The sequence below is a fragment of the Homo sapiens genome, chromosome 9, assembly GCF_000001405.40.
Source record: "Homo sapiens chromosome 9, GRCh38.p14 Primary Assembly".
Taxonomy (NCBI): Eukaryota; Metazoa; Chordata; class Mammalia; order Primates; family Hominidae; genus Homo; species Homo sapiens.
Window position 1 is genome coordinate 75,984,117 of NC_000009.12, and position 17,880 is coordinate 76,001,996.

At 39.2% G+C, this 17,880-nt stretch overlaps 1 protein-coding gene across 8 annotated transcripts in view; it reads left to right on the forward strand.

Annotated features, from left to right (window-relative positions):
• PCSK5 (proprotein convertase subtilisin/kexin type 5) overlaps positions 1 to 17,880 on the forward strand; it is a 473,167-nt gene that overhangs the window by 94,308 nt on the left and 360,979 nt on the right. For all 8 annotated transcript variants that reach the window (NR_120409.2, XM_047423454.1, NM_001372043.1 and 5 more), the window contains exon 3: positions 2,016 to 2,129. Coding sequence is in view for 7 of the 8 variants with exons in the window: in XM_047423454.1 (XP_047279410.1) it covers positions 2,016 to 2,129 (114 nt within the window). In the remaining variant the exon portion in view is untranslated. The remainder of the gene's footprint in view (positions 1 to 2,015; positions 2,130 to 17,880) is intronic.

Here is a 17,880-nt window from a genome sequence, read left to right on the forward strand (position 1 = left end):
GTAAAATTATAGAAGGGATGCTGTTGGGTAAGATATTTTGTTCTATTTTAGTACCTATAGTTCATCTAGGAAAATGGCTGTCACTTGGTTTTCTCACATACTTATTTCATTTGTCTATTTGAATGTATGCATAGGGAGAAATGAATATTTATAGTGTCCTTCTAAGGAACTGTTATCCACTCCCACCCCAGGATAGACTGTCCTGACCTCTAGGAGTCTCTTTAATGAGTCCGCAGTGGGGAAGACATGATACTTTCCGGTTTATGCACACATATAGGTTGGCAGTGTGGAATTTATGAATGCTTCATTAGGAAAGGCCACTGCCAATATAGGATTAGTTTTGAAAAGAGTTGTCTAAGCAGCCTTCTTTTACCAAGCATGCAAATATGAACTAGTTAACTTTATTAGGATAATACTTATAGACAGTAATATAAGGATTACAAGTTGCATAGTCAAAATCATCATAAATAGTCTAAGTAATACAGTGATAGGGCCTGTGTCAGATGTCATTCATGGAGGTAAAGATATTTTTATGAAGTGGAGAATTGTGGAATACTTGTTACATTTCCTTGGTAAAGTGTAAGTCCTTCAAAGGTAAAACCAATTCTTACTCATCTTTGTATTTCTAACACAGTACCTAGCACTTGTTTGTTGAATGAATAAATGAGTGAATGAACCTGATCCCTTAGATTTTTTTGAAATGAAGAGGTTAAATTGTTTCCTGGAAATAGAAAATGTACGTGCAAACCCATCCTTGCTGCTCCACTTTGACTGAGAAGGATGCCTTAGGATCCCTTCTCCAGTAATCTTTTAATTGAGCAGGTGAGAGAGGTCTTAAAATGTTTACTGAATGGCTGGATATGGAATTACAGCAGTGGACCACAAAGCTCCCTTCCTCCCCACTCATTTTTTAATTCCTTTGTGGAGAGGAGGGATAAATGGTAGAACAAAACATTCCAGAGCATTGTGACTAAATGAGCTATCACCAGAAGAAATCAAACAAAGGAGCATTTAGGCACAAATTGAAGAATGCCACCAGGGCTGATTCTGCATTTGAGACATCCCGCTAAAACTGGAACATGCTTATTTTTGTGTTGCCGTAAGGATAATCTGTTTTAAAGAAAGTGTTCCCATACACACCCCTACCACTAGGTTATAAATTCTGCATTAGACTCAAGGTTTCTGGTTACCTTGTTTAAACAAGCTTATAACTAAATATTAAGATGTTTCTCCAATAGAGCATGTTTGAATTTTACAGCTGGCAGGGAGCCTATGGCTTAGGAAATTGAGTGGCTTCTCCAATTTTGTGCCAGAGATAGGGCTAGGGATTTGGTTTTTCTAATTCTCCAAATAGTGTCTTTCCACCGCACGGTGTTGTAGAAAGCCATTAAAAAAAAAAATGATCCTGGAGCGTTTTGATCCCAGAATGTTTTTAAAAATTGATGCATACTCTAAGTCAGTAAGTCAGGAATTATAAACTGTGGCATGTGGAACAAAATCCAGCCTGGTTTTGTATATAAAGTTTTATTGGAACACATTCACACCCATTCATTTACATATCATCTACAGTGCTGCAATGGCAAAATGAGTGATTGCATCAGAGACCACGTGACCTGCAAAGCCTAAAATACGTATTATTTGGACCTTTATAGAAAAAGTTGGCTAGCCCTTAGTATAAAGTAAGGATGAAAAGTTACCTTAAAAATTAACATTACCAATTTGTAATAAATTGGAAGTAAAATAGGATTTCTGAGAAAGCTAAAAGTTAGCTTGTTGTTGAGAGGTATAAATACTCTATATAAAAAACTAAAACACCTGCTTGCATTAAACAAACAAAAAAAAAGCCCTGGGTTTCTAAGGAATCTCTGAGCACTTAGACTCAGAGATTTTAGTAGCCACAGTGAAACTTGTGACTTAAATAGCCTTGACTTACAATGGGAAATGCCTCAGACTGTCATTTATGTTGTAATAACCCTGATGGAACGTGAATACTCACCAAATGTCCTTCTTGACAGGTGGAATGGATCCAACAGCAAGTGGTAAAAAAGCGGACAAAGAGGGATTATGACTTCAGTCGTGCCCAGTCTACCTATTTCAATGATCCCAAGTGGCCCAGCATGTGGTATATGGTAAGCTTGCTAAGGAAGCCTGGCCTAGGGCCATGTCATCCGGTTTTGTGTTGTATGCAGAGAATCTGTTGGTCTTGGGAGGACACAGAAATACTGACCAGGGATTGTTTCCTATTTTAATACCCACCATTTGAGATTGGTTAATGGCCTATGATGCTGTCTGGATTTTCTTTCTAACTTGGCTTGTTGGTTAAAATAAGGAGAAAAAGAAGGGAGTTCCGACTCACAGAAATTCTGTTTGAGAGCTTACTTTGTGCAGTAGCTTTCTAATTTTGGGCCAGAGGATAGAAAAATACGCAAAAGTGCACATACCCTTAGACCTATCAATAATCATGTTACCTCTGATACACATTTACTGTACCTTGAAACTAGTCTAGCTAATGCACACTGGTTCTTGAACATCATTGAAATGACTCTGCTGGTAAGTAATAGGCCCCAAAATTATGTCATCTGATGTGTGCACTCTCACTTTAGGTAATACTTTGTAAAAGTAGACCAGGAAAGGAAATCATGGAAAGTGTTCGATTTGGTAGTTCATGGTTCAAGCAAAAGATTTTTCAGTGAAGGAAACCTACTTAACATGTTGGGAAGAGTAATCCACCAGTTTACTTGGCATGGCCTCCTTTGAAAACATACATCTCTAATCTCTTAGGGATTTTAGGTTCATGATCACTGAGAAATGAATTTGAATATGTTACTTACTCATGAAATCCACATGTCACCAATTTGCTCTATAATGTGTAAATCACCCTTTACTTTCTTCTTTCTTGAAAGTTTTTATTGCTAAATTTTGCCAGTATATTATTCACTATACTACTTTAGTTTTTGTATTCCTGTTCCTGCTTCTTTACAAAATGTCTCCAAACTGAAAGAAGAACATGAATCCATAGCATTCCCATAGCTGCCTCATGCTTTCCTGGCTCCCTGCCTCCCATTCCTTCTGCCTGGAATACGTTCCCTGCCCTTCCCCACCTCCTTGGGTCAGGATCCCCTGTCCTCAGAACCCACACCTGAGGCTGACTGCTCTGGAAGGCCTTTCCTGTGTTCCTATCTTTTGTCATTTTCCCTCCTCTGGTCTCTTGGACCCTCTCCCTGCTGCTCATGGCATCCATCATGGCACTTTACACTGTAGTTATTCATATTGTTTTTTAACCTTCCCCATTGGACTTGTGGGGGGGCGGGTCTCTTGAGGGCAAGCTCTGCATCTTGATCCCTTTTTATATCTCCCCAGAAACCTAACCCAGCACCTTGTAAGGCTAGGAATTTGTGCTTATTTTGAGATGGGTGAATGTGGCTGGTATTTCTCTTAATTTCCCTTTTCTTGGTCTTACCCAGAAATGAAAGGTTATGGAAATATTTTGGATCCCAAACAGAATTTTACACAGAAATTTTCCTCATGTTTAAGGGGAAAAAGGGAGGAATCATAAAGCTAAGTTCAAGGGAAGGCGGATCTAAGCATCCTTAGCCCCAGTAGCCGCAAAGAGTGAACCCCAAGGGAAGGCATTGGAGTGAGCACTGGCAGGAGCTAAGGAGCTTTGTCTGCACTGACAAAATGATAAGAATGTAATGGGATTAAGAGATAGGAGGAAGCAAAGCTGCCTCTACACCCCTGTTTATAAGACCAGGGTGAGAGAGACCCTTTTTGCTTGTTCTCATAGGAAAGAGCCAAATTGCTGTCTATGCATGATCCACTGGACAGTAGAACTATCTAGTAGCTTTCCCTGATCCTTTCATCACCCCAGCAGGGCAGACTGGACTCTAGCAGGAGCCATGACCAGGGCTTTAGCCCTTTGGCTAGCCTGGTGGCTGAAGGTTTCAGTGCCTGCATAGTGAGATCTTGTCACTCTGAAGAACCACTATTATTTCATGTCTTTCCAACATGAGGAGAGACTGAGAGAAGAGCTTTTGATTGGCCATTTAACATGTTTGGTGTTTTTCAACACATATTTGATGATAATATTACAAATACATAACATTTATTGAGCACTTACTATGCACCAGGCAATGTGCTAATACTTTATGAGGTTTTTCTTTTTTCTTTTCTTTTCTTTTTTTTTTTTGACAGAGTCTCGCTCTGTCAGGCTGGAGTACAGTGATGTGGTCTCAGCTCACTGCAGCCTTGACCTCTTGGGCTCAAGCAATCCTCCCATCTCTGCCTCCCAAATAGCTGGGACTATAGGTGCGCACCACCATGCTTGGTTAATTTTTGTAGTTTTTGTAGAAGAAGGGTTTCACCATGTTGCCCAGGCTTGTCTCGACCTCCTGGACTCAAGTGATCCTCCCACGTTAGCCTCCTAAATAGCTGGGACCACAGGTGCATGCCACCGTGCTTGGCTAACTTTTAAACTTTTTGTAGAGACAAGGTCTCACTGTATTGCTGAGCCTGGTCTTGAACTCCTGTGCTCAAATGATCCTCCCACTTGGCCTCCCAAAGTGTTGGGATTACATGTGTGAGCCACTGTGCCTGGCCATGAATATTTTTCTAATGCAGCTGGAACAAATGCATGTGTTAAAATTGGCCTAGTTTTAAAGTGAGAAACCTGTGAGGCTTGCGAAATTTAGTTAACTTACCTAAGATCACCAAGCCTGAAAGTGGTGGAGATGCCAATACAGGCAGGTTGATGCAGAGTCCATGGGATTAGCACAACATCCTGTCTCCACCCTTCTGCTGTTTACGGTGCTGTGAGGAAGCCTCTAATCTATCCAAAGAGAAGTCACTGAAACACTTGGCAGAATGGTGGGTCCCCTGTGGGATAAATAAAGTATCTTGAGGACAACCAAAGTACTTCACAGATTCCTGTTAAATGATTACTTTCCCTTAATAAAAGGGATGGGAAACAGGTTCCATACCTTATGCTTCTCTGTTAGGACAGAACGAGTCAGGACTTTCAGATCTGCAGATCTGGATGCCCATCCCCATTGCTTCACTTAGAATCTCCATGATTGAATCAGTCAAACTCTCCTCAACTGTAACATAAAAGTGTCTAGCTCTTATGTATGAGTGGTATCTTGCTGCATAACAAAACTTAGTTTTTAAAGCAATTATCTCCCAGCCTGGACAACACGATGAAGCCCCATCTGTACCAAAAATACAAAAAATTAGCTGGACGAGGTGGCGTGCTCCTGTGGTCCCAGCTACTTGGGAGGCTGAGGTGGGAAGATGGCTTGAGCCTGGGAGGCAGAGGTTGCAGTGAGCCATGATTGTGCCACTGCACTCCAGCCTGGGTGACAGAATGAGACCCCCTCAAATAAAAAAAAAAAAACAATTATCTCATAGATTCTGAGGGTCAGGAATTCAGACGGGGCCCAGGGATGATGGCTTTCCTCTGTTCTGGGATGTCTGGGGCTTTAGCTAGAAGACTCAAAGGCTTGGTGAGAGCGGGAAGCTAGACTTCAAGGTGGCCCAGTCACAAGGCTGGCACATGGGTTCCTCTCTATGTGGGCCTCACCACAGGGCTGTGTGAATGTCCACTTGACGTGGTGCTGGCTTCCCAAGCAGGTGATCCAAGAGATCGTGTTGGAAGTAGTGATGTCTTTTATGACATCTAACCTCAGAAGTCACAGACCCTTATTTCTGTAGTTTTCTATTGGTCACATGAGTCAACGCTGATTCAATGTAACAGGGAATATGTGTGGGTGGCGTACTAGGAGGTAAGGAGTGTCGGGAGCCATCTTGGAGGCCGGCTACCACAATTAAATGAAATTTTTAATGAGAAGCCTTTAACACAGTGCCTGACACCAGAAAACCCTCAGTCAATCATAATTGTTGTTATTCTCTGACTTCTTAATTGCAATACATAGTAGTTCCTTTTTACCTTTTGTTCAAATGAGTCAAAGAAAGGTGAGATCCCATGCCCAGTGGGCATTCTTGGGAGTATTGTTTGGCAGCACATCACTGACACAGCCCAGGCAAGGTGCTGATACCCTTCTTCCTTTTCCTGAGCCCTGAGCTGCTGCAGTGTTTCTGACCTCCGTAGGGTCCTGCCTCCAGCTCGTTAGCCTGGGCCCATTTCTGTCGTTCAATATTTATCACAGGAGAATGGAGATTAAAGAATGGCATGAAGTGTGCCTGCGTGTCTCTTTTAATTAATTTACAAGCTTTTCCCATGTCGCTCCTCCCCTTGGAAACTGGTGTGCAAAATCATTATGTGTAGCCTTGAGGCTTGGGCAATATATTCAGGGAAGAGTACATTTATGAGAGTTTGTTATGGAGATGATAGCTGTATAATTACTGCTGTGTCCTGACATACTGTGTTGAGATTTCTAGGAGTTGGAGGGTTAATCCTAGAAATTCAGTTCACTTCTTGTTGCATTGACAAGCTTCTTCTGCATCTATTATTTGCTAGACATGATGCTAAGCGCTGAGAGTTTAGAAAAACATGATTTGTGCCTCCTAAGATTAATAAAGCAGGGGAGTAATATGTAAGCATCAAAGAAAACTTGCTGGACAAGCAACTCCCTGCTAAAAGTTTCTCTGGGATCACGTGCATATATCTAGCCTCTGCTCCCTGGACATTGGCCTGTAATTTTTGCTCACAGATTTGTTTCTTCCATTAGAAGCTCCTGCAGAACTGTTAAACAGATCCAAGCTTGGGCCTTCCTTTAGTTTTTGATGTGGAGTGGGGCAAAGGCAGTGGGATTTCATCAGAACTAACGTGTAGTATGTGGTAAATGCTCAATAAATTTTGATTGAATAAATGGATGAGCAAACTCTGTAATAAAAGCAAACCTGTGTCATTTCCATAGTAGAGAACGCTTAGTGTGTGTCAAGCATTTTGCCACACTTTCATGTGTATTATCTTATCGCCAGTGTTCCAGTGAGTTAATAACTACAGTTATAATCTTCATTTTATAGATGAGGAAATGAAAGCAAAGAAAAGTTAAGTCACCAGCCCAAAGTCACACCATTTACCAGGGACTGACCCTGGTGTTCAAACTCAGCCATTTACTTGTAACGTAATTCTACATCATGCTTCATAAAGGACAGGCATTAGAATCACCTGGAGGTCTTCTTAAAACCAGATTTTTGCCTACCCTCCCACCCCTGGCACAGAATCTGGGAATTTGTATTTCTGGCGAGTTTCCAATTGATGCTGATGCTGGGGTCTCAAAACCCCTTTGAGACACCACTTCCCTACCGTATTTAATTAACCAAGGTTATGTGAGCACAGCCTCCCCAGTTATCAGATGGGGAAAGAAAGGCTTTTAAACTTATGGGGCATTTTAAAGCACACTTGGTCAATTTAACTTTTTCTTGATCTTATACCTTCCTCTTGCTGACACTATTTTCTATTTGGAAAGCTGGCAGCTTTAATATGAGAAGATATTTTCACTTTACCTTCGCTGATTGAAAATACCCTTAGCTTATATATTCTTTCAAGCTGCTCCAGAGACAGAGGATATCTGATAGGAAAGGTCGTGAGGATTTGGCCACGTCTTTGGAAACTCAGTGTAATAGAATTGGTTTTAAGGTACCCAGCTGATACAGTGGCCCGTTTTTTCACGACTAAAGAAAACTCAGTTTGACTCTAGAGACAGAGAGGTGAAGTAAGACTCTTCCTTAAGAATCTGGGACTACCAATTGAGAAAGTTTAGGGAGTTAAATATTTTAAAAATTATAAAATGTTTAGAATGTTCAAGACAGCCTAGGCAACATAGCGAGATCCCCTCTCTCTAAAAAAATGTAAAATAAAAAAAAAAATTAGTTAGGCTTGGTGGCATATACCTGTAGTTCCTGCTACTTGGGAGGCTGAGGCAGGAGGATCACTTGAGTCTAGGAGGTCGAGGCTGCAGTGAGCTATGATTGCACCATTATGCTCTGATCTGGGAGACAGAGCAAGACCCCATATCTAAAATCATAAATAAACATTGAAATGGCTGTCCACCTACCCCCAAACTAAGGAATGGAGTATCATCTATATAATTGAAGTCCCTCGTGATCTCTATTTTAGTAGCATCTCTTCATCCTCTACAGAGTCATCACTTGCGCTGAATTCGAAATACATTGAGGGGTTTCTCCCTTGTTGGTGGGAGGCTTCTCTTTGTAGGAGGGCTTATTCAATTTACAATAGATGTATGTTTTTGAAGTCAACATAAAACACATATTCGTACATGGAATTCAACAGTTGGGCTATTGCATAGTCCCAAGATGACAACTTAGAAATGACACTTGGCTGAAAATGTGAGTTTAATAGAAAAGATCTTTTATTCCTTCACTTATGTAAATATTTCATTGCTTAAGGAAATTGATGTTGCATTTATGGTATTTCAAGTTTAACTGTTAGCCAATAATGATTTTGGAGAATCCCGTAGTAAATAACTTTAAATACACACACACACACACATACACACACATACACACACACAATTTTTTTTCTGCCTCACAGAAGGACTCAGAAGTGTTTCTATTTGACTCTCAGACTCTAGTAATTCATATGACTGGTACTCTTGACTCATCATCCTAGTTAGCACAGTAGAACTTTTTGTGATGAATATTGTGTGGCCTATTTAATATGCATTATTTAAAGGCAGACAGTAATAAATGGATTCATTTTTGATGCACTACCTCGGATTTCATGAACGCTCTCTGGGTGGTTTTTCTGAAGGAAAAAAAATTCATATTTGTCGATCAGCAGAGTGAAAATTAGCTGAGTTCGGTTATGCGTGTGGGGCATATCTGCCAAAAGCTATGAACTAGCTAGGATAGTAATTGTGAAAAATGATTTTAAGCCCCATGGCTTTTTCTCAGCCAACTGGATGGTGTTCAGTACTCCAAGAGTTTGAGACATCACTGTCTCTGCGGTTGGCACACATTTTTCTAATGATTTATACTGTCATTTGACTCATAAAATCTGGTGGAGTTTGTGGCATTATTGTCCTGGCAGCTTGGAAATCGACCTTTTAAGACACCCCATTTAGCTGTTTTAATTGAAAATGCAACATGGTAGAAATCTGCAACCATGTGGCACATTCTGAGGCAAGCAGGAGACCTCCTGAGAAAGGACAGATGCCAGTGAGGCAGTAAATAATGGACTGGTAGGAACTAGTAAGAGTTGAGATGTGGTTTTGTTGTACTGGTCCTAGCTCTGTGACCTCTAGAAAGGTATTTACCTCTCTCAACCTTAGTTCATTTGAAAAACTGAGGAATCTAGACTAGATAATTTCTTAAGATCATCCTGTTTGAACATTTAGTTCTACATGGCTAGTTGTACTGAATATTGAGCCTAGAGAGATCACATACCATCAATGGGCCCATGTCTTGATCTCCAGCCAAGAGCTACCCCATGAGATGTATACTGTGCTTTCATGACATTACTAATTCAAAGTCAATATGTACCTTGTTTCAGAGATCCCAAGACCACCTACAAATCTGGTAAATCACTAGGAAGACTTACATGACTCATCATGTAGTCATTCTCATGGCTATGATTTATTTCCTAAAAAGGGTACAAAGCACAATCAGCAGAAAGAAAACGCACATGGGGCGAAGTCTGGAGGAAACCAGGATCAAGCTTCCAAGAGACTTGCTTTAGTAAATCACACAGAAAGCACTTAGTTCCTCTAGCACTGAATTGTGACCACACACGTGAAATGTTATCTACCAGGGAAGCTCATTAGAGACTCAGTGCCCAGTATTAGGAGTCTCATAGGCATCCCTTGCCTACCATATACCAAAATTCCACATCCACAGAAGAAAAGCAGGTGTTCATAATAAACCATATCATTTATATAAATGGTTTAGGTGCAGTGAACAATTCTAATTGGGGAATGGCAGGAACCCTCCCGAAACTCAAGTTCCCAGATGCCAAACAGCCCAACCTTGCACACAGGATTTTCAAAGGCCACCAGTCTCAGGTCTGCTATGTTAACTCCTCTGCACTTTTCCGAACCAAATTCATGATCCTACCCCCCAGATTTACCTGCTTCCACTGTTTCTGCTTTTAGTGAGTAGAGAGAAACCTGGATGTCATCCTTGACTCTACCCTTAAAGCCAATCCACCACCAAGTCAAAGCTACTTTACCTCTTGAGTCAGTTGCCATCTTTCCTTCCCCACCACTACCTTTAGTCTAAGCCATCATCTCTTAACTAGACTACTACAACAGCTAGTTATCCGCCTCCCAACCTCCCAGTTTCTTTCTTTTCTTTCTTTCTTTCTTTTTTTTTTTTTTTTTTTTTTTTTTTTTTTTTTTTTTTTTTGAGATGGAGTCTCACTCTGTCGCCCAGGCTGGAATGCAGTGGCGCGATCTTAGCTCACTGCAACCTCCGCCTCCTGGGTTCATGCAATTCTCCTGCCTCAGCCTCCCGAAGCTGGGACTACAGATGCCTGCCACCATGCCCAGCTACTTTTTTGTATTTTTAGTAGAGACGGGGTGTCACCGTGTTAACCAGGATGGTCTTGATCTCCTGACCTTGCGATCCACCCGCCTCGGCCTCCCAAAGTGCTGGGATTACAGGCGTGAGCCAGTGCGCCCGGCCCCACCTCCCAGTTTTTACTTCTGCACTCTTCCAGTCTGTTCTTCATACAGCAGCCAGAGTGATTATTAAAACCCCCAAGCAACCAACCAAAGAAAACACCTCCCCATTTAGTCATTTCCCTTTGCTTAACACTTCTGAAAAGACTTCCCACTGTTTTAAGAATAAAAACCCAAATGCATACCATTGCCTTGAAGGCCTCACATGATTTGTTCTCTGCTCACCTCTCCAAACATCTTGCAATACTTTCTACTTCGCTTTCTGCTTTCAGCCCATAGGCTTTATTTTTCTTCATAGAACATACCAAATTCCTTCCCTTCACAGATCCTTTAAACATGTTCTCTCTCTGCCTGGATGCTTCTCCCATGTCCCTCTGCTGGGTTAATTCCAATGCTCCCTTGAGATTCCCATAATCTTGAGTAGCCAGGTCCCCCACTCCATTTGCTATATCACCATGCACACCTCTTTTTGTGTACTTAATGCAGTTATAACTTTCCATCTCTGTGTGTGATCATGTGATAACTATCCTTCCCATTAGATACATTCCATGGAGGAAGAAACCATAAAAATCATCATGGAAACCTTAGTGACTCACACAGTTCCTGATATATATATAATAGGCCTTTATAAATGTGTGTTGAATGAATGAATGGATTAATAAAGCATGAATCAGTAAAACATTATTTGTGCTCATGTTTATACTGTACTGTATTTCTAGTTTACATTAACTTCAATAAACTGCCAGTAAAAGAAGAAATAAGTGTTTTATGATTTTTTGGTATGTTTTGGAAGAAGTTGTGTCTTTGTGATTTTATCTGGGAGTGCTTTTTCTGATATCTTGAATTGGGAGTTGTGTTCCTGAGATATTGTTGCGATTTGGTCCTCATATCTGGTGTATTTACAACTGTCCTGCTTGGCTTCTAGTCACAGAGGACTATTTCTTTAACTTAGGTCTGTGGGCTAGATGGAGGTCCAATCTGTTAGTAGTTGCAAATGTTGATGATACTTTTAACAGGATTCATTCATACACACACACACACACACACACACACACACACACACACTCACACCTCTCTGATCTTGTTCTCTTCCCAATGATAATGACTTCACTAGGAAGAAAAAGTCAACAATATTTCATAATATTTCTTTATCATTTGTTTTCTACCCATTTTTCTTTCATTATGGGTAGTAATCATAATTTTCTGTGATAGTTTGTGAAGATCTATTTCTACTATGGCATTTTGAAAAATCTGTCATTTCCTTGATGAGTTTAGACCTGTAAGATTTTCAAATACTGGTCCAAGGCTATTTAGGGAACCAAATATGTGAATGACTGAGCTGGAATAATAGCACCTCCTTAAAAAAATACTTTGTATTCATTAAATCAATAACACAAAATAAAAATTTTCATAATTAATAATTCCAAGAAAAAGCAAACTCGTATCTCAGGTGTGGTCTGTATTTGTTCTACAGCTTAGGGAATCCCAACTGAATTAAAGTTCCTATGAAGAAGACTTTTATTAATGCATTTATTTATTCATTCATTTATATTTAGCAAAGATTTATTTTTTCCAAGAACCTATATTATTCCTGATGCCAAGGATAAAATAGTAAATGCAATGACCATGTTGCCTTCTTTAATGAAGTTTAAGGGGAGCATTTTATGGGTAGGGATTTGGGTAATTTTCATCCTTTTGCCTAATCAGTTGATGCTGGCCTACCAGGACATGGCAGAACTGTAATTGGTACTTGCTAATTAAGTTATGATAATTATGATAACTGCGATTTCATTGTCCCACATGATGGTTGTGATGGAAGTGGCTATATTAAGAATGTCAAATTAACCTGTAAGTAACTAGTCAAAGTGCTTCCAGAAGAGGCTAATAATTAATGATCCACTTAGAAAAATCATTTTGATAACATCTATTTCTGCCAGTGCAAATTATTACAACCTTTTAAGAATTTGCTTGCACAAGATACAACTTATTTCATACAGGTAATTTATCTTCTTAGCTTTGCTTTCAAAGAGTAAAAAATGTGTGAGTAGTCTTGCCCTCTGGGCCCCTCTCTGCCATGATGGTGGTTCTGTTAACAAAGTTTTTTTTTTTTTTTTTATCAAGATCTTAGCTAAGATTTTTCTTTAATTAGTAACTCATTCTCTTTTGGAGAGCAGATAGGATTGACCCTTGACCTATCTTAATCTGTGGTTGTCTTCCTGAACATGTTGATTCAAGTTCTTTTATCAAACAGCTGCTCTGATGCCTCATTGCTCATTTACTTTTCACTCAGTATTGGGATTAGTTGTAGTGATCAGGGCACATTTTTCTGGCTTACTGTAACCTATCTCTCTGCCAATAACTAGGGTTCTTTTAGTAAGTGCTCAATAAATGTCTGTGGATATAAAGTGAGGGGAGAGCCGGTCATTTAGATTTCTTCATTTACAAATTCACAGAACCGAGTTTGGCTACTTCTGAAAGGTGATTTTGCCTTCAGATGTCCTGTGTTGAGATTCAAGTTCTAAAATTATCTGAGACAGAAGCATCTGGAATGCTTCTTTTTCTTAATTTTGGTTAGCAGTGAACTTGGCTAGGAAATTCATGGAGTAAAAGGAATGATTTTTAGCAATCCAGTGATGAAATGAATTGGAAAGAAGACAAATGCCTAAATTGTCTGGGGAGAAAGTATTAACCATCTTCAAATAGAATGCACATGCACATCAATATGATTTTTCCAGTTTCTCCAATGTAAGGAGATCCTTGATAGGCTGCCTCAGCCTAAGGTTGAGATTGTAGACTGGTGGTGGATAGTCCAAAATGCAGATGATTCAAGCCGAAAGAGCTGCTCCACAGCAGATGAAGTGAAATTACAGTGAGACATGCAGAAGAAAACTATTAATTACTGAAACAGGATTTGATTGCTTAATTGCATAAGTCAGAATTGAAATTGGGTTCAGAATGCAGAGGTGTTATTTTTTGATGGTAGATGATATGGACAGTCAAAAATGCATTCACCACTTATTGTTTCCATGATTAAAAAGAGGAAAAACCTGATGAGAAACCTAATTTCTTTCTTTATGCTAAAAAAAAGCCAGTCAGTTTGTCTGGATGGTGTCTATTCAAACATTTGGTACAAGAGTTACAGAATAATCTTAAACGACTATTTGGAAGAAGTCTAGCTTTTGTTCTACTTCTTTTCTCTTTTAGTTTCCTGGTGAGTTGAATTTGACCCTTATAAAAAGCCTACTGGTATAGAAGTTCTGATCCAGACATTCAAAATTAGTGTGTCTGAAGCAAAGTCAAACAAACTATGGTCAGGTAGCACAGAACTGTGTTCTTCTAATAGTCTCGTTGCATGGTGTCCTGAAACTTAGTTAAATTAGTGCCTTTAAAACTTGGTCTTTGGATGTGTTACCTAGTGATAGAGAAATCATTTTTATCTTTTAGAGAACTCATAGAAATTCAACAGTATTCTCAGTCACAGTAAGTCAAGCATAGCAGGCCCACATAATTTTTTTTTTCCAGCTCATTCCTGGTCTGCTGAAATGTTTTAAGTGCTAATTCTGACTTTTCTTTCATTACTGTGCTCTGTGTCCCAGGCCCTTCCACTTAACATTTGTGCATTTACACAAGCACACAAAAACAAACACTGTGCATGTTTTTGCAATTAGTGCTTACTTTGAATCAGGTGGTCTTTAAGAAGATAGTGAAAAAGAACTCACAGACCACTAAATTAGAATGGGTCTAAATCATAATTCAAGCCCTCAGCTCATGCTCAATACCGCTCTAGTAAGTTTTCAAAAACTAGAAATATACTCTACTCAGATGGCTCTTTCTGTAATGGGTGATTCCACTCAAAAACACTTCCTTGTACTTTATCAGAAACGTAACGTCACTTGGTCTAAATTCCAGGTTGGTGATCACATATTTGATCTAGTTTACATGCTTTCACTGTAAATATTATAGAAATCTTTTGGAAAATTTAAAAGCAAAAGTCAGGAGACTAATATATCATGAACATCCACGTCTCCATTACCAACTTCAATAATTACCAACTCAAGGCCAGTATTCTTTCATTTATTGCCCCCTTTACTCTGATTGTCTTAAAACAAATAGCATACCTCATTCATCACCGAATAGCCTAGTATGTATCTGTTTAAGATATGAACTACTTTTCATAAAACCATATTACTATCACATAAAAAATTAATTTGTTTATATTATCAAATATCCAGCCAGTTTTCAAATTTCCCGATCTAAAAATTTTTTCTTTGTCATTTGTTTGAGTCAGGCTCCAAATAAGGCTTATACATTGTGATTGATTAATGATGTGCCTCTTATTTATTTATTTATTTTTTTATTATACTTTAAGTTCTGGGTTACATGTGTAGAACATGCAGGTTTGTTACATAGGTATACATGTGCCATGGTGGTTTGCTGCACCCATCAACCCATCACCTACATTAGGTGTTTCTCTTAATGCTATCCCTCCCCTAGCCCCCCAGCCCCCAACAGGCCTCGGTGTGTGATGTTCCCCTCCCTGTGTCCATGTGTTCTCATTGTTCAATGTGGAGTCGGTCGGGAGACCCTAACCCAGCGGGGCTAGAGGAATTAAAGACACACACACACACAGAAATATAGAGGTGTGAAGTGGGAAATCAGGGGTCTCACAGCCTTCAGAGCTGAGCCCCGAACAGAGATTTACCCACATATTTATTAACAGCAAACCAGTCATTAGCATTGTTTCTATAGATATTAAATTAACTAAAAGTATCCCTTATGGAAAGCGAAGGGATGGGCCGAATTAGAGGAATAGGTTGGGCTAGTTAATTGCAGCAGGAACATGCCCTTAAGGCACAGATCACTCATGCCATTGTTTGTGGCTTAAGAATGCCTTTAAGCGGTTTTCCGCCCTGGGTGGCCCAGGTGTTGCTTGCCCTCATTCCCGTAAATCCACAACCTTCCAGCTTGGGCGTTAGAGCCATTATGAACATGTCACAGTGCTGCAGAGATTTTGTTTATGGCCAGTTTTGGGGCCAGTTTATGGCCAGATTTTGGGGCGCTTGCTCCCAACAGTTCAACTCCCAGACCTAAAACCATAAAATTCCTAGAAGAAAACCTAGGCAATACCATTTAGGACATAGGCATGGGCAAAGACTTCATGGCTAAAACACCAAAAGCAGGGGCAACAAAAGCCAAAATTGACAAACGGGATCTAATTAAACTAAAGAGCTTCTGCACAGCAAAAGAAACTATCATCAGAGTGAACAGGCAACCTACAGAATGGGAGAAAGTTTTTGCAATCTATCCAGCTGACAAAGGGCTAATATTCAGAATCTACAAAGAATTTAGATTTACAAGAAACAAACAAACAACCCCATCAAAAAGTGGGTGAAGGATGATATGTCTCTTACATCTCCTTAATTTTACAGGCTCCTCTCCATTTTTTTCTCCTTTGAAAATTTTTGGTTGAAGAATCTAGGTTATTTCAGGCTTCATGTGATCTGGATTTTGCTGGCTGCAATCTCATGGGGTCATTTTGCAAGTTCTATCCCTGATATTATCAATAAATTGGTAGGTAGTAAGAGCAAAAGGCTCAAATTCAAGTTTAATTTTATTTTTGAGAAGGTGAGGGAAGACTGCTTCCCAGTGACGGTGTGTATTTCCATCTGTAGGTACAAAATGTCTGCTTGTCCCTCCCAGTGATGTTAGCAGCTGCCATCACCTAGATCCTTATAAGTGTTCATTGAGGTTTGCCAGATAATGACACTCATTCTGTTATTTCTTCTTCATTTACTCGCTAGAATATTTTTATAAAGAGAAACTTCTCATCAATCATTTGTTACAGTGAGATACAGTTTCTGTAGGAAAGGCAAAATTAATCCTCAGTTCTTTCATTTTATTTATCAGGGGCTATTTCCCTAGTATTCACTGAAGGGCACCAATGAGATGTTTTCCTATTTTCATTGTAAATTCATTAACTTAAACATAGTTGATGTGTTTTATTTCATTGAAGTCGTAAACCTGTTCATGCTTAAACTGCCCCATCTTTGGCTAGAGAGAGCCTATTCAAGTTGACTTCTAGGTCCTTTAATGTGACCCCAGTATATTCTTTTTCTGGTATAATAAATGCTTCCATTATTATCTTGCATATTTTGTGTTCCAGGCCTGGAATCAACCTTTTCTCTGAGACCCTTTGTTCCTTTTTTTTTTTTAAACTCATATTTAGAGACCACAATATGAGTGTTGTGATTCTGATTGCTGTTGGATTAATATTTAGGAGTTTTCAGTGAGCAGAGTTGAGCAATGTTTTTTACATATAAAATAGCCCATGAATTTATACAGATATTTTCAATTTAAAATCAATTCAGTTTTACTCTCACCAATTTTACATCTGCATCTTTTCCCCATGTTGAAAATTCTGTTCTCAGTGTCACCAATATAATTACTCTTTGATTTTATCTCGCGCTGTGTACAACACTCTCTTAGAATGACAGAACTACCATCAGCACTGTGATAGCTGCCAATAATTTAAATTTTATATAGTTCTTTTTGTCTTTAAAAATGTATCCCACACATGTCATGTGGTCAAGTTATTTGTTCAAAATTAATTGAAATATTTCTCTCTCTCTAAGTATTTTGAAATGACTCTCATGCTGCCCAGAATCTTCTCAAGATGAGCTATCTTTAGTCCTCCAGAAAAAAAATCTTTGTTACATATTACATGATTTCAAGTCTGCTCTACCATCATAGCTTTTTTTTTTTTTTTTTTTTTGCCAACATAGTTTAGTTTATGCTCTCTCTACTGTCGTTGGAAGGTTAGAAAATATTCCAACGATATGCATTACTCTAGCTTGCACAGGCAATAGTAAGTGGAAGGTAGCAAAACCATCTGTTTCAGCAACCTGATGCCCTGGAAATAAATATTCTATCTTGAAGGGATGACATTAACTCTACTAGGTCTTGCACAATAGTGTATAATTATTTCCCCTAATGTGCCTGTTTTAGAAAGGAGTGTGTTAAACTTGCCATTCTTTATTAGTCTGAAAGATGAGGTAAAGCAGGGCTGGAAACATTTCTAATTGTAGAATTTTGTCCAAGAAAATGAAAGATTAAAGAGATCCATAATAATCAAACCTGATTCATTCTGGACAAGTGAAAGGGAATGTGCAGTGAACAAATCATTTAAACTAGTTGTACACACTAATGAGCATTAAATTCGTTCTATCCTCCCAGGACTAAGAACTAGGAGTTACTACAGGCTGCTCAATAAAGGCATTAA